Genomic DNA, 27,045 nt, shown 5'->3' with positions numbered 1-27,045 from the left:
ATCTACACAGCTGGGCACCCCTCATTGTGAGTGAGGCCAGCCTAAACCATCCAGCCCCAGCCAAGCCAGTCCAGACCAGACCAGAAGAGTCCAGACAACCCACGGACTTGTGAGGGAGAGAACTCTTTCATTCCTTTAATTTTGCGGTTGGCTTTTTTTTTCCTTTCTTTTTTATTTTTTAAGCTGTTTCGAGGTTTCACTCTGTCACCTAGGCTGGAGTGCAGTGGCACCATCATGGCTCATTGCAGCCCTGAATTCCTGGGCTCAAGCAATCCTCTTGCCTCAGCCTCCTGAGTAGCTGGGACTACAGGCATGTGCCAACATGCCTGGCCAAAGTTTTCAAAAAAATTTTATAGAGATGAGGTTTCACTATGTTGCCCAGGCTAGCCTTGAAATCCTGGCTTCAGGCAATCCTCCTGCCTTGGCCTCCCAAAGTGCTGGGATTACAGACATACGTCACCATGCCTGGCCTGGGGGTGGTTTTCTAAGCAGCAAAAGCTAACTATTACAAATACCCCATAAAATCCTCCCTAAAATATACTCTCTAGACAGCTGCCAGACTCTGAAGCCATCAAGGATTTATTATTGCAGTAAGTGGCTTTCTCCACATCTTTATTTTAAATGCTCACAAAGCCATTTTATTTCCAAACATTTTTTTCATATGGGTCCCCCAAAGTTAGGCATAGAACTCGCCATGTGGCTAATTATTTCTATTGAGGCTGACAGTGAAGTGAAACTGCCTCCTAGGAAGAAGTATGTATGTGAGCTCACTCCCCTGAAGCTTTCACAGCACACGGGCCCCCATCAATGTCCCGGCAAAGACCCTCCTCTTGGGGATTTCTATTTGTTTAATGTCTTCAAAGAACAGAACGGGCATTTCTGACAGGGACAAATCATTGAGGGCAGTGCTCCTTTCTGCTATAATAAAACAAGCCTGTTCTCAGTTGCTCACCTACCAGGGGCCACTGCCCAGAGCAGAAAATGAATGTGAGCAGCTATAATCACAAAGATAATGACAACGGCAGGAAAAAACAGTTCCTGGGAGCATCTATATGGTGCTTTGACAGCCCCTGGCTGTGACATCAAATAACTCAAGGAGGAAATAAAACTATCCCGAGTGCAGTGGGCTGAGAGCTGGGTTTCAAGGATGCCGCTGGAGTTTTAAAGTAGTCCTTTCTTAGTTTCAGGGCACTAGCGTCCTGTGGGCCAGTCATAGTGGTGGGGCAACTGAAGTGACTTGGGTCTTGACTTGGCCACTAGTAAACCTGCACCACTAATCCTAGATGACAGTGTCTACCGATTACTGAGGGCTTGCTTTAACCAGCTGCCCTGTCGATCTACTGATTTAACTCCTACAACAACCCTGTGAGGTAGGTGGAAACATCCTCTTTTTATGGGCAGGGAGACTGAGGCTCAGAGAGGTTAAGGTACTTGCCTAAGGTCACACAGGTGAAGCTTGGCTGAGCTGGAATTAGATCTAAGATCTGTCTGCTCCCACCGTATCCTGTTCCATAGCTTGGTATTCTAGCAGTTTTGATTCTGGCCCACGTTGCTCTGGCTTTAAGATACGCTCTTACGTGGCCATAATTAAACATTATAAAGGAAAACCACTGAAAAAAAATCACTGTGAAATCTATTAAAATAGGGTTATGACCAGTTAGAGAATTTCAACTGGGTCCTAACCCAAGTAACAATAAGCAGTACCTATGTAATTTCATTATGTGGGCTATTCTAAACAATTCTGGAAATGGTATACTACTGTTAGACCAAAACATATTTATTTGGAACTCTCCCTTTGCCCTGGATACCCCAAGTATCTACACAGAAGAGATTTAAAATGCAGCATCTCAAACACATACTTTCCACAGTTGAGCTGACTCACAGCATCATCTCATCTGTGTTTTCATCATCACAAGTGGGGTCTGTCTTCTGTTGTGTATTTTGTAATTCATTCTACAGATGCCATTGTATCCTACATGTATTTCACCTAGGATTTTTAGAAATAATCCTTGCGGACAAATATATAAATTCTTACTAAAAATTCTACCTTCAAAACTCTGAGATCTACCTCCTCCACAAAGGCTAGCTCCTGTGGCAATTTTAGCCTGTCTCAGACGAGGCTGCACGCCCCGAGATACAGTGACTTGCACTGCTTTGCTATTGCATGAACCTCTCCTTCCTGGGTGAAATGTTCTCTTTCTGTTTCCTCCACAACAGCACACAATATAGGGATAAATACTTAGAAATTGCTTGAAGTTTCCTGTTGACTGCAATAAAAGTGGGTCTGTGGGATTAAAATCCCAGCACTTTTGGAGGCTGAGGTGGGAGGACTGCTTGAGCCCAGGAGTTGGAGGCTTCAGTGAGCTATGATCGCACCACTGCACTCCAGCCTGGGCAACAGGGCAAGACTCCATGTCTTAAAAAAATTAAATAAATAAAAAAACAGAAAGAAAAGGGGAATTCTCAGTTTATCTGATGCTGTATGGAATTCCGGAAAAGATGAATTCCAGAATGTGGGCTATCCTGGGAAGCAATGATCACTCATTCATTCATTCTGCCAAATGCTACTGAGCACCTACAATGGGCGTAGAGTTTTGCTACTCAAAGTGTGGTCGGAGGGCTAGCAGTCTCAGCTTCGCCCAGGCTTCTGCCCTTTTCTTATACCTATTGCATCGAAGGTGCATTTTAACAAGGCCCGGGGCTATTCATGTGCACATGAAAGTCTGAGAAGCACTGCTTTAGAGGTACTGCACAGAACACGACTTTATTTATAAAGTAGCAATCCCGATGTCCAGTCTAATGATGGGGAAGATACTAGGAGGTACTTTGAAATAATACAGGATGGAGCTTCTCCATGGCCCAGGCATGCTACGAGCTCCTGATGTGAGGAGCTCAATGGTACTCTAGGTCTAGGAGGCTGGGGGTGAGGGTGGCTGAGGTAGCCACAGTAACTGCCCCAGGGCAAATTCTAGCCTCAAGATGGAAATAGAGGGGGTGTTCTTAATGCTCATAAATTCAGCAAACTGTACTCTGTAAAGGCTTTAGATGAAAAAGTTGTTTCTAGTGGTGGTCTTCAAACTTCAGTGTGCAAGAGAATCATCTGGTGACCTTGATTGAAAAAGGAAAGAAACAAAGATGCAAACAACAGACTCCAGGTCTCACTTCTAGACCTTCTCATTCAGGAGATGGAGAGCAGTGGCCTTCAACCCGGGCTGAACAATGAAGTCATCCTCGGAGCTTTAAAAGACAACGATGCCTGGGACCCATATTCAGAGATCCCAATTCAACTGGTCTGGGGAGAAGTCTAGGCATCGGGATTGAAAAAAAAATTCCCCAGGTGAGTATAATGAGCAATCAAGGTGGAGAACCATTCATCTCAAACAGAGGTGCGCAATGCAGCAGAGTGCCTGGAGGGCTTGTTCAAACGGATTTCTGGGTCCCACTCCAGAGTTTCTGACTCAGTAGGTCTGGAGTCAGGCTTGAAACATTTGCATTTCCACGTGATGCTAGTGGTGCTGGTTCTGGGGGCCACACTTTGAGGACTACTGGTACATAAGGAAGGGGCTGCAGCCCAGAATTGGCATTTTTAAACATGCAACTGAATGATTCTGATGCCAGGTGTCTGAGCTCTACTCATAGAAACAACGTTCTGTGTGGGCTGGGCAAACAGGTGAAGCCACAAACGCTGTGCAATCTCAGGCTGGCATCAAGCGGTCCTCTGTGCTTCTCTCACTCAGTGGCGCTGATCTTTTCCTCCCATTCCTATCTTCCAACCTAAGCACTCATTTCTAGATCCTTCTACTGTCCTAAGTGGTGTGCTACTTTTTTCCCCAGAAAGGCAGAATTGTATAGTGGTCAAGAGGACAGATTCTGGACCCAGACTGCCTGGGGTGAATCTCAGGTCTTAGCCCTCCAGGTTAAATTGCTTAAGTTTTCCAGGCTTTAGTTTTCCCATCTGTAAAGTGCAGTATCTGCTTCAGAGAGCTGATTTAATGAAATAGTATATGTGAAACGCCATGAACAGGGACTAGTGCATGGTAAGTACTATTTAAATGTTGGCTATTATCCCGTCTTTCCTCTTGGAAAGCAGATAACTTGACTTCCTTTGGGAAAGGTGAAGGTTTCATGAGCCTGCTGGCTAGAAGAGACATCCCTTCTAGAGTTCTCTTTCAGTTCCCCTGGCATTTGATGTACATCTCTACCATGGCACTATTTTGCTCTGTTGGTTAATTTTCTCCCTTGGTCCACAGATTGGTGAGATCTGTTCTGGGGACAGACTATGCCTTGCTCATTTTTGTACCCAGCATAGTGCTGGACACAGCATTTGCTCTTAATAAATGTTGGTTGAACAACTGATGATGTGGCAAAAAAATATTTTTGTCTTGTTCTTTTGCAAGTTGCTTAGAATTCTCTATTAATGAGAAGAAATGACTGTCTAATATACAATTGGTCTATCTGTTGAAAAATGGGGATTAAGGTTAGCATGCAAATGGTGTAAGACAAGTCATCCCCTTCATATACTGCTCATTCCAAAGTCCACTGATGGTGAAGCCACAAGAAAATCATGACGATGGGTGCATTTGTAAGACATTAAATATCCTTATAACAAACTGCCTGATTCCCCACAAAATCTGGCCAGATGCTTGCCAAATTGGGTTCCTCTTTTTCTTGGACACACAGAGAATACATTTCCCAGCCTCCCTTGCACCAAGGTGGGGCCATGTGACCAGGTCTTCCCAACAGAATTTCAGTAGATCTGATGTGTGTCACCTCCAGGCTGAGGGCCTTACGAGTGTGTGTTCCTTCTCCAGGCTCCCTTTCTTTCCCTGGACACCAGCTGGACACAGAATATCCAGGGGATAACTCTCAGGCCCTAACAGTTGGTGGAACTCCAAAATGGGAGGAGGCTGGATCCCTGAATGACTGAGTGGAGCTGAGTTCTCCTACCCAACTCAAGTGAGAAATGAACTTTTATTATTTTAACTCACTGAATTTGGAAGGTGTTACCTCACTTATCCTACTCCCAAAACACAGGAAACCAGATCTCTCAACTTGGAGTTTTGAAATGTATTGGGGGGGGGGGGTTACTTTGAAGACCTGAGACACACACGTTCATGTGGGTTCCCAAGGACCACTCCACTGCCAGTATCAAACATAACACAGTTGCCTGGTCAAAGGAAGCAGCCGTACGTATCTCTTTTACTACACTGATTTTCAGGATGAATTTTTACAGTAAAAAATACAAGGAAGTTAATTGGAGAATTTCTTCATTTTTAGAAATAAAACTGAAATTTGAGGGGCGGGGGAGGCAGAAAGAACCCCAAAGATCCTAAAAAAATTATCTCTTCGGATAATTGGTATAGTGATTATGATTTGATTTAAAATTATAGTCTTTCCAGAAAAATGTGGCTGCTGGTGCCTCCTTTGGGCTTCTGCGGAAGACAGCCTTTGTGAGGTTTGCCTCACAGAAGACCAAAAGCCACATGCTCTAAGCAGGGTTTTGCTTGGCTCCATGTCCAAGGCATCATCCTCGTTTATTCTTCCCACCAATTTTATATTACTAGGTGGTAAACTCACCATATTCTGGCTGATCTTTGGTTTCAAAAGTCCGGTGGCCTGGGGCTGTATGGTCCCACCCCCTGGGGGGGTTGAGGAAGTTGCTGTCGTCTGAGGTACTGTCGTACTTGTAGTCCTGGTCCCCGCTGTTTGCCCTGGCCAAGGACAGGGACCTCTGCCACCAGGCCCGCCAGTCGGGGGATGGGACTGACCAGCTGGGCTTATTCTCCGGATGCTGATCTTTATCTGCTTCAGAGTCAGGACCGTCGACCACCTCTATGGTGACCTGAAGAATTCAGAACAGGCTGGGGTCAGTGTGGAGTCAACAGCCTCCAAGCTACATGACCCTTGGAAGAAAGTCTGAGAGGGCAGAGGGAAATGATGGATGCATCCGTTGTGAAGGAAAGCTGAGATTGCATGGCGATACACAATGGAAAACCTCCAGGGATGGTCCACAAGAATTCCACGGCTAGATGGAACATGGCTTTGGGTTGGGAGGGGAAAATTCATCACTAGAGTCCCTGATTTACTGATGACTAAAAACTTAATAGCTGGAAACAATGACTGTTGGATTGCTGTGGGTTAGGAATTTGAGTAGGGCTGAGCCTGGAGAGTTTGTCTCTCCTCCATGTGGTATTGAGAAGCCTTTCACTCAGGAAGTAAACATGTACTATATTTGTTCCTGAAGTGATACCAGAATAATCATATTATAATAAAACATAACATTTATGAACACAAACTCTGTACCAGGCACTATCCTAAATGCTCCACCTGTATTATTTAACTCTTGTAAAGACCTCCCATCTGTGTTTTTGTGTGCCACATCTCCCATTGAGAGAGGTGGAGCCCATTTCTCCTCCCTGGAGATCTGCATTAGCCATGTGATTCACTCTGTCCAGCAGAATGGGTAGGAGTGGAATGGTGACAGGTATTAACAGAGGCCTTACAGCTTTCATTTTCATTCTCTTGGAATGTTCTAACCGCTATGTAAGGAAGCTTAGCCTAGACCACTACATGTGTAGAGACCATGTAAAGAGAGAGGCTGCATGGAGGAGAACCAAGGTCCCTCAGCCCACGTCTAGCTCTGAGGCCTCAGTCATGTGAGTAGGGCCATCGTGGATCTTCCAGCCTCAATTGGGTCACTCTAGCCAACATCACATGGAGCAGAGACAAGCTCTCCCAGCTGAGTCCCAGTCAAATTCCTGACCCACAGCAATCCCGTGGTCATTGTCTCAAACTATTAAGTTTTGAGATGATTGCCAGATAACTTTTACCACCAAGGAAAACTGGTGCACAGAGACATCAACAACTTGCCTAAAGTCACAGGGCTAGTAAGTGGCAGACATGGGGAGTCTGGTTCTAGAGCCCATGCTGTCCCTAACTTTGCCACACTGTCTCTCAAAAAGTAAGTGACAGAGCTACTGTCTCCTCATGAGACCAAAGAAACAAAAAGACCACAGGTGCAGGTGGGGGCTGGTTGCTTCAGGGTGTATAGAGACATAAGTACAAGCTCCTCAAGACGAGGCTTTCCCAGCTACAATTTTCACTCACCCCATGGCTCATCCTAGCCTTCACACTCCTCAACTAACCCTTAGGGTCAGAGCAGATAGTCCTGGAGCCAAAGCTAGAACTTGTTCTCAGATTTATGAAAGTCTCATTTTGAAGTCTGTCACGGGGCTGGAAGAATGAAGCTTCTTGGTTCCAAGAGACAATCAACGTAGAGAGACTTGTTTAAAAAACATAATAAAAGACGCATTGGGTTCCTTTGGCCATCGCATAGCTCTTGCAACACCCCCTGGATGAGTTATGTGCAAATGAATCAGAAACATGCACTCCAAGTAATCAACCCAAGATGTACTGGGCAGACGCATTTCCACTTTTGCCCTAACCTGACATCTGATAGAGTTGCTGAGATGCTCTGCCAAATTGCACCAGGGCGTGCCCATCCCTGAGACAAATAACCCCTTCCTTTTGTGTTACGAATGGGGAGGTTTGAATTATTCTGCTCACTTCAAATGATGTTGCCCAGCCAATGGGCCCGGGCTGTGGTTTTGTGGAGTCTGGACACATGGTCAAGAGGGTGACTTTCAACCCCAGAGTCTACTCAGGCTGCAGCAGGCCAAGTGCACCCTTCTCCTCTGTCACGGGACACCTAGAAGGGCACTACTAGCTTTACCCCATGCCACCACCCTTACTCCAGTCTTGTAGGCACCCTTTGCATATTTGTAAATAATTGTGGAGCTTTTCAGTAATCCCAAAAGTAAAAAAAAAAAAAAGGGTAGGGGGGAAGAAAAGAAAAGGAATACATCATACATCTTGTATCATTGCTATTTGCTGGAATGAATGGTCGTGGGAGAGTAATGGTAACAGGGACCCACACAGAAGCTCAGAAAGACAAGTGGAGAAGGAGCACACAGCTGGGTAGAGCCGAGCCAAGCTGGGCAGTGACAGGGCGATGCTGAGCCTTTGGAGACATAACCTTTCTTCTCTGCAGCCCCATCTGAGGGAACTGAGCTGCAACAATCGTCTGCAAGGCTATTAAGGGTCTTGGAGGGGAGAGGCTGCCAAGAGCCAGGCAAGCCCACAATTATGGTAATGAAATCAGTCTCTGGGTAGGAGATAAGAGGGAATGTGCCCAACACTTTTGGTATTCCATTTGTATTCAGACTGGAGTCAAAGGGATTGCTTAAACAAAACGTGCCCTGCAATTTCTCCAAGCTGGGAATAAAAACAATTTCATGTTTCAAGCTATTACCGTCAATATGATTTTTTTTTTCTCCAAACTGCTGCTCAGATCCAAACAAAATAGACTTGTTGCCTGGCCAGGCAATGAGTAGCAAAATACAAATTTACTCCAAAAGCTATATCGATGACTAAATCTCAACACTTAGAGGTTTATTTTTCCCCTTAATTGCTAGCCACTGCCTCAACTGAACTAAAACAAAAACAAAACACAAAACAACAAATCTTAGGATCCACCGCACCCTTCCCTACAGTTAACAAAGTGAAAACCTCATGCTGATATCAAAAGAAGAAATCTAATCTTGAGCCTGAGGTTTCATAGGCATCCAATTAAAAAGACTTAATGAGTGTGATCAATGACTTCTCCAATGGCGAGGGCTCGTTTTATGTTTCCTATTGCTCTCATTCTATTTACATGCTTTTTAGCATCAAAGAATCCGTTGATAAAGATGTCTTGAACAATGATCAATGTGATGAACTGTAGGTGTGGAGTGAGCACAGATTTCCAAACTGACAAAGTCTCTAGATCTTACCGTCCTTTCTCATCCTTAACACACATAATTGAAGTGTCTTAGTATATTTTTTTCTTCTGGACTTTTTCACACTCAAGTCATGATGATAAAAGAAAGGGAACTCTTTCAAAAGCCTCAAGTTCAATTTCTGGCACAATCTCCCCAGCTCCAAGAAAGAGAGTCCAAAAGAAGTGCCCATTTCGATAATTCTGTCTTAGGAAACGAGGAAAAGTTCCAATGCACCTTGATCAGCTTTCCTTCTCTTGAAAATTAATACATTGACTAGAAGCAAACTCTTGATTCTTGCTCGGAAATGCACTTCCCATAGGGAAACCCACACCATTCTCAGTCTAGGTGATAATAAACCAACGCCACTGAGAATACAGAGGCCATGCTCTTCAAACTCAGGAAAGCCTTCTTGCTTGTTGGTCCTCTAAGCCTTGTGAGCTGTGGAAACTGGTGGGAGTGGGCAGGTATTTTCCAGAGAGGAAAAGGATTTCCTCAGGAGCACAGAGCATTGAAGGACCTGTCTCCAACAAGGGTTTTAAATCCAGATTATTCTACCCCTTCTTCCTCGATAACTGCCATGGAAAGAACACAAAATGGACTAGGAAGATATCTAATTCCCTCTTCTCACACCTGCTGATGCTCTAAGAACAAGGGTGGCAACCCCAGCTAACTGTAGTTACTGCTTTGAGACTTGCAGCACGCCAATCTAGGCATTACTGTCCCTTCTACACAACTTAGACTCAATTTTCAGGGACGGAAACTGGCTTGGAGAATTCAAGGTCCCGAGGTAAACAGCAAGGAAGATGTAGTGTTGGTCTCTGAACCAGTTCTTCTGATTCCCAATTAATTTTTTGTACATTTCCTTTGTCATCTTCATCTCCAATATCATCACCAACGAGCATCTATCCGTTCTAGGAAGCTTATCCTATACTGGGCCCTGTGCTAAGCACTTCATATGGATGATCTCATTGAATCCTCACAGATAATCACACTTATATATAGTATTATACTACATAGCTGCTCATATGTAGTATTGTCATTCCAATTTTATAGACAAGGAAACTGAGGCACAAAGACATCCAGTAACCCGCATGGGGCTACGGAGGTCAAGTCTGGCTGACTAAATGGTGGTGCCTGATCCCAAACACAAGCCAATCTGCCTCCATATATTGGCAGCAGTACCCCATGAGAATCTGAGCCGAACAGGCTTGTCTCTATAGGGGCATGGGTCCATGTCTTGGGCAGAGAAATTTCTTGATTCTTATCCAGCCAGACCTGCCATTCCTCTAAAAGTATTTTAGAGAAAAAGGAGGAGGCAAAATCAAAAGTAGAAGCACGTACAACTGTAACCCTGGCCAACTCATCTGATTGTATCTTGTGGCGCTCAAGAGGCCTGTGGCCATGTTAATATGTCTGTGCAAGGAAAAAAAGGCCTTTACATGACTATTTTTAAGTCCGTCTTAATGGGAGAAAAGAAATAAATATATGGGTTGAAATGAATACTAATCTCAACTTGATCCAGAAAAGAGAATATTTTGGTTGTGAATAGCTAGTGTAGTAATGAACCAATGTAGTAAGCCTAACAGTGCATTTATTTCAGAGATTTTTGTCTCTGATATCTGACTATCAGCTGCAGACTGAAAACCCAGCCAAGGATACCAAAGTCTAACTTGTTCTGGGGGATTTACTTTCTTTCCTGAATGATTTTTGTTTTTGATAAAACCCAACCTCTTATATTGTTTTAAATTTCATATGGAGACTCAGTTTAGTAGTCTGAGACCATTTTTGTTCTATTTTGCGCATTTTCTTCCCCTCCTCACTTCCACAGCTTGAAGCCAGTCTTAAAATAGAATTGTCTGATTCACTTGGGACCGAGGCTGCCTGACTTCTGGGAGTTAAAATGCTCTGCAGAAGCAGGTGTTGGGGCTTTTAGAAGGATTTCCTATCCTGAAAGTCAAGAGGCCCGGGGGCCGGGCGCGGGGGGGGCGGGGAGTGGAGAGGGGGCGGGACGTGGACTCTTGCATGGGCTTAGCGATGTCACTTTGGAAAGGTGCAGGCTGTTTCCTTAGCCCTGGAGCGTGGGAAACACTTCCAGAGCCTGAAGGGGTGGGGAGGTGCGGAGGGGAAGGCGGGTATCAAGTTCCCATTCAGCTCCCAGGCTCCAGCTAGGGAGAACCAGATGGGGGCAAAGGCAGGTTGCCAGGGGAAGGGGCAGATGAGGCCAGGAGCCCTGGCAGCGGAAGCTGACCTACTGAAGGGCCCCTCACCTGACTTCACTCTGCTACCCAGGGAGAGGGAATGCTTTGACGGGGCCGGCAGGGACCGTCAGGGACCAGCAGGGCTGTCTGCTGGGCTGAATCGGCCCTGTGTCAAACCAGTGGATTTCAACAAAAGAACAGTGCTCTGAGGAAGGGGTGAGGGCTGCCAACACGGAAACCATCACCTCCTTGTAGAAAGCACCTCATGTTTTAAAGGACCACCAGGGAACTGGTTTACACAAGTGCAGTGGTGCATGGGGCTGCAGCAGCTAGTGCTGTGTGGTGTGTGGGTGTGTTTGTGTGCATGCACATGCACACATACACACACACACACACACAATTACACGCCAACAGAAGGCGGGGGCTCCCAGGGGTAGCAGTTGTTTTATTCTTTCTTTGAACATCTTTCTGAGTGACCAATACTAACATTTTGTGGTCTTCCACAAACAGAAGGCCAGAAACGCACCACAATTTTATTTTCTTCAGGGCCAAAACGTCATCAGATCAATAAAATGCTGGCCACCCTCCACCCCTCTGTATTGCTCACAGAAAATTAACCGATAGGGATTGTATAGAGCAGAAATAGAATAACTTGACTGGGCAGTAGGCAAAAATGTATTGTTGGCTTACTCTTTTTGATTTGTTGACTTTGACAGTAGCTAGGCTGGAGCCGCATTAATTTTTAATCCATTTGGCCAATAACATTCACATCTGGAGCTATGGTAAACCTTTATTCTTGGGAGTTACGGTGATCTTTGCTGTACAAAGGGTAACTGGGGTTCCCAGCTCTGGGAGTCCCAACTGCCTTTCAGCCTTTACGCTATAGCTTTTCCCTAATATTTAAGTAATATTTTTAAAAGACAGGTCAGTTGCAGTGACTCATGTCTATAATCCCCGCATTTTGAGAGGCTGAGGCAGGAAAATTACTTGAGGCCAGGAGTTTGAGACCAGCCTGGGCAACACAGTGAGGCCTGGTCTCTTCAAAAAATAAAAAAGATTAGCTAGGCATGGTGGCTCACACCTGTAGTCCCAGCTACTCAGGAGGCTGAGGTAGGAGGATCACTTGAGCCCAGGAGTTCAAGGCCTCAACAAGCCATGATTGCACAACTGTACCGTAGCATAGGTGACAAAGAAAGACCTTGTCAAAATAAAATAAAATAAAATAAAATAAAATAAAATAAAAAAGACCCAAGTGAGGTCTAGGTAGGGAATGGGAATTTTCAGACAGATGGATTTATCTAGAAGACAGAAAGGGGATCCCAAGAAGTTCTGTCTGAAATTGGGTTCAAGCACAAAGCAGCCAATAACTTTCCAATGAAGGAACAGTCCCCGGCAGCCTTCCGTTCTCCCGCATCCAGGCATTTTCCTATGACTTTGCGTTAGTAATTCTTAAATCAATTACACTGATATTATAGCTCAGTCCTCAGCATTATGCCCCAAGTGACATTCCCACCTCTGGGAAAAAGCGCTAGCCACAGCAGGCTTCAGATTGTTTTGGGCATGGCCTAAACACCCTTGGGATGAGAACTGCCTGATTCTGGAACCAGAACATCTATAAACACATGGATGAGCCATGATAGGAAACAAGGTTGAGCAACGGTATGAAGTCAGTGCCTTCCTTGCCAATCTGCACCTATTCCAAAGGGTTCCATTGCTCTTTATCACACCACGTGGCCAGTCCCTGGAGAGGGGCCATTGGAGCCAAAGGCCTGTTTTTCCAATTTATCAATTAAAACAATACAAGACTCACCAGAAATTTTAACTGGGGCTTGTAGTGATTTCTGTGCATGGGTTGTCAAAGAGTGACCTCCAAAATATTTGTCACTCTGTGCCATCAATAGAGCCTGTCCGACTTCTTTCCACCTATTGAGATCCACCCCCTTGGGACACAGTGCTTTTCCTCCTCTGTCTTCATGATCCCTCCAGCACTGTTTTATGTGGTAGCTGGGATCTTCACACAGATCTAATTTATTGGAGGGAACAGGTCTTACATTTTTCAATTTCCTATAACCTAATGCAGCATTTTATATACAGCGGGGGTTGGTATTCCAAGTGTTCTCAGTGAGATTTGCGTGCTCCCATGATGCTGGTGTTAAGAGCAAAACAACTCAGGTCAACGAAACCTGATCTAAAACCGTATCATGCAGAGGGTGTTAGTCTGTGGAGAGAGAGGCAGTTAATGAAGGATCAATTGGTCTGAGTCCAAGTTCAGGAACTTTCTGCTATGTAAGCAAATTGGCATTTGGTCCAGAGAGGAAAAAGTACAGAAAAGGTGCACCTATACAAATAGAAAGAATTGGAAGCAAAGCTTACAAGTATGGGCTGGCTGTGGTGGCTCATACTTGTAATCCCAGCACTTTGGCAGGCTGAGGCAGGGGGATCGCTTGAGCCCAGGAGTTTGAGCCCAGCCTGAGCGATATGGCAAAACCCTGTTTCTACAAAAAATTAAAAAATGAGCTGGATGTGGGGGCACACACTTGAAGTTCCAGCTACTCGGGAGGCTGAGGTGGGAGGATCGCTTGAGCCTGGGAGGTAGGGGCTGCATGCAGTAAGCTATGATCGTGCCATTGTATTCTAACCTGGGTGACTGAGTGAGGCCATCTTTAAAAAAAATATGGAAGCAGGCATATGAGGACGAGAGTTGGATAGGGGCTGGGTTGCCCGGGGGATGAGCCTCTCTCAACCATCATGGGGACCATCTTTGGGAGGAAACAGAGAAAGGTACAAACAACATTCAAAATTAGGAGTTTGCCTCTGAATGTGGGTTGGGAGTCTGAGAGCCTGGATTTGAGCCCTATAACTACTATTTACTGCCATGTGACTTTGGGTAAACCAAACAGTAACTTCCTGAGTATCTGGTGCATTACCAATAGTATTAGAAAAATGACACGGGCTTTGTCTCCTTCATGAGGGTGTTGGGAGGGTCAAATCCGATCAACATTTGCTTTGTAAAGTATACTGAGCTATTTCAGTGTAGGTGAGAGTTATTATTTTTAACCCCAGTCACCCTTTCCCTAACCTCCCATTTCCCACTGCTTCATCAGATCCCAACTTAGTGGAAGATAGTCATCTCTCTCCTAGGAACTCCTGTTCTCAACTTCCTTCCTCTTATTGTTTTGTAAGTCATGTATACTTTAGAGTAACGGAAGCTTGTCTCTTTGTGAAGGAATTTCTGGTGTCCAAGGCAAGTTTAGAGGGGCACTAAGAGAAACAGCTTTCCTGAGTGCTTTGAACTCATATTTGAAAACATTTGCCCAATCTATTCACAGGTCAGATTGGCCTTTTCCTATAACGGCCACATTTCATCAATTTTGTTTTGTTTTGTTTTTATATTTCAGACTATTTTGTTTTGTTTTGCTTTTATATTTCACTGTCTCTTAAATTAGTATGTATCTTGTAATCCTTGGTGTGTCATACTTTAATTGGTAGTGTTTTCTTCTTTTGAGTGGTTCACAAAATAATTGTGCATCTCACAATCAAGGGTGTCACTTAATGAAATGCAGCACTGTTCTTATGGAGATAACATGATCTTAAGCAGGAATCATTAAGGGGTTAAGAAGAAAAGTGAGGTAAGGCAGCAGTTTCCACTGGAATCATCAGAAAACAAAAGATGGACTGTTTTGTTATCTCCCATCTTCCAGGTGCCAAGAATTACCTGGATATTTGGATTCTGCCCATTGATATCAGCTTTGGAAAGATCTGGAAAGTTTGGTAGATCAAGGAGAAAGGATCTGGGGAAATCTCTTTGCAATGAAGGGTGCCCCGTCTCTTGTCGGAATCGCGGTCTGGGGAAGGGTTGGTGTGCAGCCTGGTGGTCCAGATGCTCCCTTGGTGCTTCTTTGGAGAGAGAAAAGCTGGTTTCTGATGTGGTGTCACTTCCCACGTTGAGGTTATTCTAAAACAAACAAACAAGCAAACACCTGTTAAGGAGACACATGATTAAAAAATGTCACCCTTAACAGTCCATTATATTCAGGAGCAAGGACAATTCCAGTGGCTGAAATTAAGCCAGTAGGGCATTCCAAACTTGTTTTGCAAACCCATGGTTTAGTTTCTTCATGTCTTAAAAGCCAGATCATCAGAAAACTTCTAGCCTGCTACTTGGGAATTTTCTGAGTGTTAATGAGTTATGGGCTATTTATTAAGCTTCAAAGTACTTTAAAAATGAAAACACTATTTTGAGGAAGAACAGGTGTTCATTTAGAGCTGGAACCAAATTATGTTTCTCTTCTCACAGCTTCAACTGATTAACCACCTTGGCTTTAGTTATAGCTCTAGTGTCCAGAGTTGGTTTCTTTTGTGTAGGCTATGGAGCAAAAGATCTGACCAAGCTGGATATAGTTCTTGGGCCATATTATTCATTACATACATTCATCCATTTGTCTGTCCATTTGTCTATCAACCCATCCATACTCCATTCACATATCCATCTATCCATCCATCCATCCATCCATCCATCCATCCTTCCACCCACACACCCATCCATCCAATCATCAAATGCCAACCATTCTAGGCACAGGAGATACAGCAATAAACAGGATAGACATGAGACCTATTATTTTGAAATGTACAACAAGGTGAGGGAAATAAACAATAAATCCATAGATAAATAAATAAGATCAGATCAAAGAACGGTGACTGCCAAGAAGAAAAGAAAGAAGATGATGGAGAGTGGCTGGGGAAAACCTTAGATAGGTGGTCAGGGAGAACCCCTCAGAGAAGGTGACACTTGAGGCAAGATCTTAACAAGAGAAGGTGGCACCCTGCCATAATCTGGGGGAAGGACATTTTAGCAAAAGGAACAGCAAAGGAAGCACTCAAGTCCAGGATGGGAATGAGCTTGGCTGGTTTGAGAAACAGAATGGCCAGCGAAGCTGTTGTAGAGAGAAGGAGGGAAGAACCATAGGTGATGAGGATGAAGAGACAGGAATAGCCAAAGAAAAAGTCACGAAAAGGCATTCTGAAATCTAATGGTTTTATACTGAAAAGTGCAAGCCCACTGTTTTTCCCAGCTGTGAAAAATGTCACCATTTCTTTATCACTATGGGGAAATTTCTCTAGTGATTGAGAAGTTGCTGGACTCCTTTTCCAAACCAGCCTTTCTTTTTCTCCCTCTCTCCTCTCACAGAAGATTTACTCCAGCCTTCAGGGATAGCATTTTCATGTTTACTGGTGGAGAGAGACAAGGAGATAGAATTTCACCAGGCTTTGGGTCAGTGGTTAATGTTCTTGTTTTTCTTGGGCATGTTTTGGGGTTTGGGAGTGTATATTTCAGCACACTGTCTCCACACGCCCTCTTTGCCCCCCACCACAGTGCCTCTGACCCAGCCAAAGGGTTACATCTGGTATAAAAACACTCATGACTCTGAGCGCCCAAGGTCAAGAGCACTGAGGCTGAAACACACTAGCAGATACATATCTTCTTGGAGAGCTAACCTTAGGGAAGGGATTATTATTTTTACTTTTATTTATGTGTCATTTTTTAGAGACAGGGTCTTGCTCTGTTGCCCAGGCTGGAGTGCAGTGGCACAACTGAGCTCACTACAACCTCAGACTCCTGGGCTCAAGTAATCCTCCCACCTCAGCCTCCCAAGTAGCTGAGATTACAGGCACGTTCCACCAAGCCCAGCTGCGAATGGATTTTTATAAATCTGTTTAAATAGGAATGGGGCTCAGGAACAAACTCACTGGTTCAGAGACCGCCTCTGAATGTTCGAAGAAGCCAAGGGGAGGGTGGAGATAGAGACCTCGTCTGTCACCTCTTTAAAACATGCAGTGACCGGGGAAAGCTGGCTGCTCTGCAGCATGTTTTTGCTCGCCTTTCCACAGCTCAGAAGATGTGGCCGGGGGCAGTGTCTTTGTTCACCTTTCCAGCCACCTCTCTGCCATGGTTTTCGTCTCCTGGCACATCCTGGTAGAGGGAGTTGCCCTGACATTTTGAGACATTACTCAATGCAACAGAGGCCAAATGTATTATTGTTTGAACCTAGCATGGAGAGAGAGAGAGAGAGAGAGAGAGAGAGAGAGAGAGAGAGAGAGAGAGAGAGAGAGGAAGAAGAAGGAGAAGGAGAAAGAGAAGAGAAGAGAAAAGAGAAGAGAAGGAAGAGAAGAAAGAAAGAGAAGGAGCGAGAGAGAAGAGAAGAGGAGTGAAGAGAAGAGAAAGAATAGAAGAGAGAAAGAGAAGGAGCAAGAGAGAAGAGAAGCGAAGTGAAGAGAAGAGGAGAGGAGAGGAGAGAAGGGAAGGGAAGAGAAGAGAAGAGAAGAGAAGAGAAGAGAAGAGAAGACAGGAGAGGAGAGAGAGCATGCTATCTTTTCTCAACATAAGATTTCTCGATGACATCCCAAAGGGGAGATAGCTGAATGCATTTGTTCCCTTGCTTTTTTCCCTTAATCTCCAACCCTAAAACTTCTCCAACAACATTAGGGAGGACAGTTAGATTGTCATGGAGAATTTCTTGTGCAGGATTTAGGATTACAAATCTTGGAAGGGGCCCAGAATTTGCTTCCCAATTGCTTTAGTACTTCTTGTAAATCAAGCCCTAACTTCATAGCCACAATGGAGGTATACTGTTTAATTAGGTTAAAAATGAGGCTCTCTTTCCTTTCCCCTGTGAATGGAGTACTCTTCCTACTATGAACACTTACATTTTAGAAGAAGTAGAAAATGTGTTTTTGCTACTCTTTAACATTTTGCCTAGATGTCTGAAAAAACAGGGACTAAGTCTGATTGATTGATTGATGTGACTCTTGAATTTTTCCTGGTAGGAAATTCACCACCACAGAGTGCTTCTGGCTTAGCCCCAGACCAAGCAAACCCCTTAAACTCTCTAGGACTCGAGGACTTTGCATGTAAAGCAGATTAGATAATAAGAAGAGCCCTGTACCCTCCCCGCAGGATTAGTCAAGATACTTGGGTTGGGTTGTGTCTACACATGGAAAGGGAAGTGTCGCGTTAGGGTCACTGGCTGGGCAGTTCAGGCCACAAGTACCTCTGCCGGGAATAGTCAGACAACTGGGGCTGAAGTATGTTTTGGCTTCAGTTATGCACACAACTGTGGCATTTCTCCATCTCTCCGAACCGCCCTGCCCCCCAGACACAGGCTTGGTGTTTGTAAAGTATTTGGAAGATGGGAAGTAATAAAGAAATGCTAATCACAATCTCTGAACATCTGAGTTACTCTTGCACCTCTTTCAAAACATATTTAACTGGACACCTTGCCTCCTTGCAATGGCATGCCCCCAAGCTGTTAAGAAATTGGAAATCCTAGGATAGGGGAAGTGTGGCTAAGGATGGCTCATATAGAATGAAACCCTGTTTTATTCAATCAATAACAAGATTTGAGAGTAGCCATTATTTTAGTCATCTAGACTTTAAATCTAGGGTAGGAGACAACAGACAGAATATCCTAGTAATGCAGAAGAAAACCTTTCTTTATCTCTTCTCAAAGGGACTTACTGCACATCCTCCTTGCAGAGCCCCCCTTGGAGGTCCTGGTTGAGGACATCAGTCCAGCTATTACCAAGTTCACTCACTGAGTATTCCACGTGAATTATTCCAGCAGAGTAAAGATTTTCAAGAGGGGTGGATCTCAAGGTTAAAAGTAAAATATTTTGTGTTTTATTCAGGCAAGCAAACATTCTTCTCTGAAAATGATACCTTAGGAAAGTCTGGGAATTTAAGGAAAGCATCATGACCATTCTTTCCAAAATGCCATTGAATTCATTCTGCCCCAGTTAAAGTGACACAAGGGGGCCTGCTCAGTTTGGGAAAATATTGCTTTACCCACAATGTGTCTTTGAGTTGAACATCAATCTATGAGTTAACATCGACAATGAGTTAACATTGAGTTAACTATCTATGAGTTAACATTGACAATGCTGCAGCACCAGCAGCAATGTTTCCTCTTGTGACTATAATTTCAGAGCTGTGACTACCACTGAGAAGGAAAACAGAAGAAATGCAGCTATTAAACGGCTTATGCACATGAACTCTTCCATTGCTGAGGCAGGTGATCTTCATTGGTCAAATTATTTAGCTACTGCTTGGTGCTCCTCTCCTTCTATTATTTTAGAACTTATCAAAAACAGGAATAGTAATAAAAATATCCTCTTCTTACAGCCTAGCATTTTGCCTTACATGGCAGTACTGTGGCAGACATTGCAATTGCCTGCCCAATGTCTAGTCCCCTCTTTTTCTTACTTGGTGTTTGTTTCAGGTGGCTGTGGACCTGGCAAAAACTACATTTCCCAGCATCCACTTCATCTGAGTGCGACCATATGACACAATTCTGCCCCATGAGGAGTAAGTGGAAGGTTCTGGACAGAACTGCTGCAAAGGAGTTTTCAGATTCGGTTTTGCCATTTGCCTTTCTCTCTTCCACTTTGTCCTGCCTGAAATGAGGAAACAAGGCTTGACGTGAAATGAGGCGGCTGGCAGGCCTGAGGATGGAGGCTGTAGTCTAAGCGTGGCTGACTGGACAGATGGTGGGCTTAGGTCCCTGATAGTATTATGGAGCTATCACGCTGGTCCTGGAATGGTGACCTCCATATGTCTTTTACTGTTATCATTAATCTTAATGTTAACATTGACAATGCTGCAGTACCAGTAGCAATGTGCCCTCTTGGGATTTTAATTTCTGAGTTGTGATGACCCAGAAAATTATAAAGGTTTTGCCATTGAAAGTAATGGCAAAAACCGCCATTACTTTTGCACCAACCAAATACTATCACAATTGCAAGAGGTTTTTCCTCACCAAAAGGAACCAGCATTCCTTGGACAAATGGATTGAGTGCAGAGCTTGGGCGGGGAAGGCACAGATGAATTTGGGATACTTTCCTGCAACAAGAAGCAAGGAAGCTTTCGATGATTAACAGGGTACTCTTGAAAGAACACAGGAGTCAGCTTGACAGGCCCCCATTGCTCACAGATCAGAGAATTTGGACAAAAAGATTGTACTTGACTGATGTACACTGAATCTATCAAAATCCATAAGGATACTCATGAAGGAGAGAAATCCAGAAAACCTACTGTTACCATTTGAGGTAGGTATTATAAAACTCCTTCCTTTGCAAATTGGTATTAAAAAGAAAGAAAGGTTTTCAGAGGAAGCAATGTTTGAACTGAAATAAAAAAGGCTTGTAAACGTACAGCAGATGCATCAGGTTAAGAGAACAGGGAGCTGGGGAGGGGTTCAGGAGCTTTGCAATCTTGGTGAAGGAGTCTCTCAGGTCTGACAGAGCTGTGGTTTATAGATCCAAAGGGTTTCAGAGCTGAAATGTGGTGAGAGTAACGATCAGAGACACCTGCTGTTTTCATATGAAATAACAGAGTTAAATATTATACACATCGGGCCCAACGCACAGTCTTAGCCCACCAGCCTTTGGTCTGACAGCCTTCTATCACACTGCGCTGTGACTTGTCCACTAGGCTACCACTTCTCTGGTAGCATCCTCTGGGGCACTTGGAGGTTTGCTGAAGCTACATGGTGCTGGGATCTCATCCCTCCTTCCTCATTCTCATCAGCTGGCCCTGGATGCCCTTGGGAAAGCTCTGCTGAGATGAATCAAGAAGAGAAAACCTCTCATCTTTAGGCTGGGTGCAGTTTTTCTCAGATGACAAATCCACACGTTTTAATCACTTGTGTCCTTTATACTGAGTACATCCTGGTCCAACACCAAGAATGTCCAATCACTGCCTCCAGCCACTGCATAGCTGGCGTTGCTCATCGTGGCTGTGTTTGTGACCAAGGTGGATGGCCATAGCCACATCTAGGGTCAGAGTGGTCAGAATGGCCAGAGTCCCCCAGCTGGTCATTTGACACAGGCAGATGAATACAAAAGAGAGGGAGTGAGGTTTTTTGGACAACCAAGCCACAGGGCAAATTAGGATGAGCACTACAATAGGAGGAAGATAAAGCTATGGAAATGAGTGATGCATCCTCTTTTGGAAAAAATGTGCTAAGCATCATTGTCCCAGTCTGCAAATAGCCACCTGCCCTATTCTGCAAACACCAACCAAGGACTGGAATCTGAAGAACAGGGTTGATTTCACCACTTTCAGAACCTCCAGAAGAGGCACAAATCAGTAACAAATTGTGGCTGTCTAGGAAAGTTTAGTACTTTTTCTCTTTAAGGCAAAAACTGGTAACTATTCCCCAGATTAACACAATCAGGCAGACTTCTTGAAGGCAGACTGGCTGGCAAATTTCTGAAAGGCAAAGAACAGGCCCTGTCTTCAGTCTCCAAACTCCCTCCTCCTTCCCCCAGTTTCACAAGCTCAGGGGGCAACAAATAAGTACTAGTTGATGATAATGATGGCTAAAGTTATCATTGGGTAACGAGGGCCTAGTTAGATTTTATTTTAATTAGGCTCAGGCTACAGGCCTCATTACCCCTAATGTGGCTTTTATGTGGGATTCTAAAGAAAAACAAAAAAACCCTAGGAATCTTCTACTGAAGATATTAAAGAAGATATTATTAGCAATGCATTTGGTCTCATAGACTTTGAACAACAAACAACAGAGATTATAATTAATGTCACTACAGCCTCTCTCCTTAAAACAAACTAACAATATAGTTAATTAGCAATATATCCTCATTTGGGGCTGGACATCTGCATATTATTATCGACAATGCTTGTTTCCTTTTTCCAGATGAAAGGAAGCCATACTGCACCCAGGCACATGGCTGTGCGCCTTCCACATTCAAACACTCCATTTTCTTCTACCCACAATAAACACACTCGGGGCTTTATCTGTGCCGAGCATCGATTTTGTCTGGAACAGTTCCACACATCTAAAAATAAGTTCAAGAATGCCACTAGTGGTATTTCAAAGGGAAGAGCAAAAGTTTTGCCATTTGAAGAGATAAAAGAAGAAAATGGCACACTGATTATCTTTAACATGATTGAGGAGCAAGCACTCCTAAGATGAGAAAACCAGGAGAATGAATAAAGTGAGTTTTAGACCATAAAATCGGCTTTCTAGAAGGGGCACACTTGTTCTTAGTGCTCAGGAAGATGGATGGAGACCACGATCCTAGGAGTGGAAGCAGGGGGTGGTGGGGGGCTTGTTGGGACTTATTCTGAGAAGTGTTGGAAAGAGGCAGCCAGGATGCACTGGGGAAAAACTGCACTGTGAAGACACAGATGACAAGGCTGACCAGCTGCTGCTCTCATGAAGCCTGTGTATGATGGCAATCATTCCCCTTCAGGCAGCAGGAACAGAGCAAATGTCAATGGCCGTATTTTATAGCAAGCATGACAGTGCAATGCCCCTTTAGGAACTATTGCTGGCAGAGGGGAAACGGCCATACGTATGCTTCAGTCTTTGCTGGGCACTCTGACGACAGCCCTGAGAGCCAGTGACACAGGTACATCATGGGCTCAAGAATTCAGGAGGGTCTCAGTCCTGGTTTGGGAATGGAGCCTGCTGTCACGGTCTGACTAATAGCTGAGGAATCCCTAGTTATGGCGGCAGAATGTATCATAACGATGTTTACTTTAGGGCTTGGCAGTGACCTCGTTTATTATCTCAGGCTTTAGAAGAAATGAAGAATGGGCAACTCTTTGCATTTGGGTAGGGAGCTGGCTTTGAGGTGGAGGGGCCACCCATCCCTGTGTATCTCTCCTCATTGAAGGTTCTTGGGGCCGGCTGACAAAATGGAGATCAACACTTCACTGGTGTGTCTTGAATACTTCTGTAAACTGCTTTGATCTTGAAAATGTGCAGATTATTGGTGAATTTTTTCAAGTTGTGCTTTCTCCATTGCTGGCAAAGAAAACAGAGTGGTAGCTTTTCCAGGACCGATTTCTTTTATGTCCTGTTAGGCTAAAGAATGAACTGAAATGAAGGATAAATTATTCTTTCAAGTGTAAGAAAACATGTAAGAAGCAGAGTACACGAGTGGAAAGTGAGTTAGGCCAAAAAAAAAAAGAAAAAGAAAAACAAACCCTTCACACATCACCTAAAACATCCCTGCAAATGTAGAGAGATGGAGAAATCATACTTTCCAGAACCACTTTGATAAAGCCCTTGTGGTGTGAGGCCAGCCATCCTCAGCATCCAGTTAAGGGCAAGGCTTTCTATCAGCCTTCCAGGCTGCAGCTAACCAGCTCAGGGCTATAAAGGCCAGGCCACCAGTGGCCACCAGGGGGCTTCCATCCCTCCTCTTCAGCCCTGTTAGAGTTCAGCCACCCCTTTAAGTCAAACTTTGAGCAAATATTTAATGAGTGTGGATTATTGGTGATTTTCCAAGTTGTGCTTTCTCCATTACCGGCAAAGAAAACAGAGTGGTAACTGTCTAGGACTCGGTTTCCAGGACCCAATTTGAAGAGGCACCAGATCATTAGTGCACCTAAAAGGCCCAAGTATCTAAGTCCTCCTACGACCAGAGGGAACGGGTGTCGAACAGGACACCAGAAGGCGAACATCTCCTGCAGTGATTCTGTGTCTCCCTGCATAGAATGAGGGGATATAAGGCCCAGGCCAAGGCTGGTGTTCTGTTGGTGAGAGGGAGAACCTGGAAATTAAGCCAAAGGACATGGATGGCAGAGTTCAGAAGCTGAGGTCTGGGGTAGGGGTGGCCTAGGGACCCTTGCCAAGTTATTATCCTAATTAAGGAGATGGATTCTTCTCAACACTAAAGTTAAGAACCCTCATTGAAACCTATTGCTAATCTCTCTGCTCCAAGTACTTCTAAAATGGGTTTCAAAGGTCATTGGACGTTAACCTTGGAATCCTGAAAAGGGTTCAGGGTACTGTGGAAAGGACTGGGGCCAGGAGTTTCAAGGTCTGGGTCTGGGTCCCAGCATTGCCTCTTCCTGTTTTGTGAGCTTTGGTAAGTTATTGCACCTCTGCACTTATGGTAGACTGGTTGGCAAAAATGTCCACAAATTCTTCTTTTCTCTAAAGATCCACGCCTCAGGTAGTTGCTTCCACACTCTTTGAGCTTCTTTTTTCTTTTTTTTTTTTTTGAGACAGAGTTTCACTCTTCCCTCTTGTTGCCCAGGCTGAAGGGCAATGGCGCGATCTCGGCTCACTGCAACCTCTGCCTTCTGGGTTCAGGCGATTCTCCTGCCTCAGCCTCCAGAGTAGCTGGGATTACAGGTGCCCACCACCACCACACCTGGCTAATTTTTTATATTTTTAGTAGAGACGGGGTTTTACTATGTTGGCCAGGCTGGTCTTGAATTCCTGACCTCAGGTGATCCACCCAACTCAGCCTCTCAAAGTGCTGGGATTACGGGCATGAGCCACTGTGCCTGGCCTTCTTTGAGCTTCTTACTGCGGCCAAAGGGACAACAGTTAACAGAGACTTGAAAAGCACTTGTGCCTTAGGATTGCCTATTTTTTTTTGCTCTTTGGAATGCTGAGAACACTCGGTGAAGAAGGCCAAGCTAGCCTGTTGAATGGTGAGAGACGTGTGCAGCAGAGATAATTTATACCAGATTCACCAGCCTGCCAATGGCCAGTCACTCAGATGGAGACTGTCCTAGACCATCCAGCCCTGGCTGAGCCTCCCCAGGCTATGAGAGCCACCCTGCTGACCCAGAGAGTCATGAGAAATAATAAATCCTTGCGGGTTTAAGCTAGTGAACCCAGTGTGGTTTGTTACACAACAAAAGCTGACTGATATAGGACCTTGGTTATTTATTCTGTGAAATGACCATGGTGAGGTAGAATGAGAGTTGCAGAAAGCCTCTCACTCTATTCAGCTCTGACTTCCTCGGAATGGAATCCTAAAGAGACACTTGTTCTGGAGAAATTATTTCACACTAACTTCAAAAAAAAAAAAAACTCCACTTTATTCCAAATGCTGAAAACATCAAATTGAGGGTGGGGAGATTAAATAAAAATCCAGTGGTTCACAAATGCATGAAATGTAGATTCTATCTGCAATGACTAGAACATCTTCTCCTTTCTCTCTATCCTTCTACCTGTTAGCTCAAAGCTGGGTAAAACCTGTTGGAAAATTCCAAAGCCCTGCCAACGACTTTCTTCACTGACAGGTGCTTTTTTGGTAATAGCTTCATTGCCAGTTTTTCAAAGACTCGAAGCTGAGACTTAACAGTTCTCCTTTGTGCTTTCATGATGCACCTGTACAGCTCTGTGTGCTACTAGAAACTAGTAATGCCCATTTATTAACAGGACCCCCCGACACTGTAAAACAATTATAGAGCTGTCATAGGCCACATATGGCCAGAGGTGAAGAGAAAGCTCCTGCCACCGGCACCTGTTCCCTTTGCCACCTGCCTGTACAGATTGTTCCTGTTTGGACTGCTGTTCTGTTATTCTCTAGGGAAATGGTGTGATTCCTGCTTGGAAAACTGGCAGCTGATGCAATTGTGGGCTCTTGACTTAGCTTAGCTAACCTTTCTCTATAGGAAGCTGGGCTGTTAGCTCTATTCATGGATTCATTCAACAAACACTCCATCGATATTTATTATGTATCAGGTACTGTGCTAGGGTGAGACAGTGCCAATAGCACATGGCTTGTTAAGACAACTTTTCCAAAACTTGGAAATGAAGCAAAAGGATGACTGCAAGTTTATCACTTAGTATTGGGGCACAGGCCTGCCCCAAAGTATTTAATTCTGTAGGAGCATGTATCTTCACTTGGCTTATTATTTCCTATTGATTAGGGCCCAGACTAAAAGTTACATGTTAACTTATAGATTTTCATTCTGTAGATATAGAAATGTTTTTGTCTAGTAGAAACAATAACTCAGTGCTAACTGTTTTATGGCTCTACAGGACATTAATCAGTCTTATTTATGTTTACACACTTACTTCATCATCATTTTCCCCACTAACTTTATAAACATCTGTTTCTCAAATGCTCTGAGATGTCATTAGCATCTTCCTTTTCTTTCATTCATTTAGTTAAGTAGTTGACATGTGCTTTTTCTTTATTTGTATGAGATTCACATTTTTAATATTATGAAAATTTTATTTGGACAGTTTTTGTCTTCAAATTTAGATTACAGAGGGGAAGTTAAGAAATGCTTGTATCCATATAAAATGCAAAGTAGAAAGTGGGAAATTCTGAAGGAGTGGAAGTTTTCAATGTAAGGAAGTAAAATTATCTAGACTCCTTTTGTTTTTGTTTTTTTTTTTTTGAGACAGAGTCTCACTCTGTCGCCCAGGCTGGAGTGCAGTGGTACGATCTCGGCTCACTGCAACCTCCGCCTCCTGGGTTCAAGCGATTCTCCTGCCTCAGCCTCCCAAGACTGGGACTACAGGCGCATACCACCATGCCTGGCTAATTTTTGTATTTTTAGTAGAGACGGGGTTTCACCATGTTGGCCAGGCTGGTCTTGAACTCCTGACCTCAGGTGATCCACCCGCCTCGGCCTCCCAAAGTGTTGGGATTACAGGCATGAGCCATTGCGCCCGGCCCAGATTCCTAATTATGATACCACAGCTCGCCATCTGTAAGGTTTTAACATCACCATGTTATGCTCTCTCACCTTCTTTAAGAGGCCCCTATCCGGATGTTGGTCTAATGCACTGACAAGCCGGAACCAGTATGGAGAACCACGGCTTGTGAGCAGGACTTCCCTTGGGTTTGTCCTCCTGTGAGGGTCCTTATGGGGAGAACAGAAGGCCATGCACCAGAAGGCACCCAAACTCCTTTCGAACACTTCATTTTTCCCCGATACAATTCCCTATTCTGATCCTAGAGAAACAGCTCCTCCCAGTGTTGTTCTCACCAACGAGAATTCTACCATGAGAACCTCAGTTAACTGAGGTTCGAGAAAAGAGAATCACAAGTTCTCAGAGGCTTTCTTTTGGGATGTGGTCATGAAGGGGGAGATGTTCAACAGAGAACATGTTTACTATTCTCCTCAATATAAACCTCATAATATTAGGATGTATCAGTTTGAGTCTGAGCAGGGAATGAATGGCACCCTCCAAGTGGGTAACTAAGGAGAGCTTAATAAAGGAACAATTTAACATATCTGGACA

At 44.3% G+C, this 27,045-nt stretch overlaps 2 protein-coding genes across 4 annotated transcripts in view, besides 1 other annotated feature; one reads left to right on the top strand and one right to left on the bottom strand.

Moving 5' to 3' along the window:
• The window catches only part of TASP1 (taspase 1), a 534,161-nt gene that overhangs the window by 353,457 nt on the left and 153,659 nt on the right, over window positions 1-27,045 (top strand). Inside the window, exon 15 of one of the 2 annotated variants that reach the window (XR_007067463.1) lies at window positions 19,294-27,045. This exon is cut by the window's right edge and continues 26,305 nt beyond it. The exons of the other annotated variant lie outside the window; for it this stretch is intronic. The gene's annotated coding sequence lies outside the window, so the exon portion shown is untranslated. The remainder of the gene's footprint in view (window positions 1-19,293) is intronic. 2 annotated transcript variants of the gene reach the window in all.
• The window catches only part of ISM1 (isthmin 1), a 105,450-nt gene that overhangs the window by 41,248 nt on the left and 37,157 nt on the right, over window positions 1-27,045 (bottom strand). For both annotated transcript variants that reach the window (XM_017027680.2, NM_080826.2), the window contains exons 2-3: window positions 14,733-14,972; window positions 5,578-5,842 (exon numbers count right to left, since the gene is read on the bottom strand). In XM_017027680.2, the coding sequence (XP_016883169.1) occupies window positions 5,578-5,842; window positions 14,733-14,972 (505 nt within the window). The remainder of the gene's footprint in view (window positions 1-5,577; window positions 5,843-14,732; window positions 14,973-27,045) is intronic.
• Window positions 23,060-23,354: a silencer, noted in NCBI's record as "tiled region #7489; K562 Repressive non-DNase unmatched - State 13:Ctcf". NCBI's record gives its function as "represses a minimal TATA promoter and a strong SV40 promoter by Sharpr-MPRA in K562 cells {active_cell/tissue: K562}" and the evidence as "EXISTENCE:reporter gene assay evidence [ECO:0000049][PMID:27701403]".

The sequence above is a fragment of the Homo sapiens genome, chromosome 20, assembly GCF_000001405.40.
Source record: "Homo sapiens chromosome 20, GRCh38.p14 Primary Assembly".
NCBI classification, from domain to species: Eukaryota; Metazoa; Chordata; class Mammalia; order Primates; family Hominidae; genus Homo; species Homo sapiens.
This window is presented reverse-complemented; position numbering and strand designations above follow the sequence as displayed.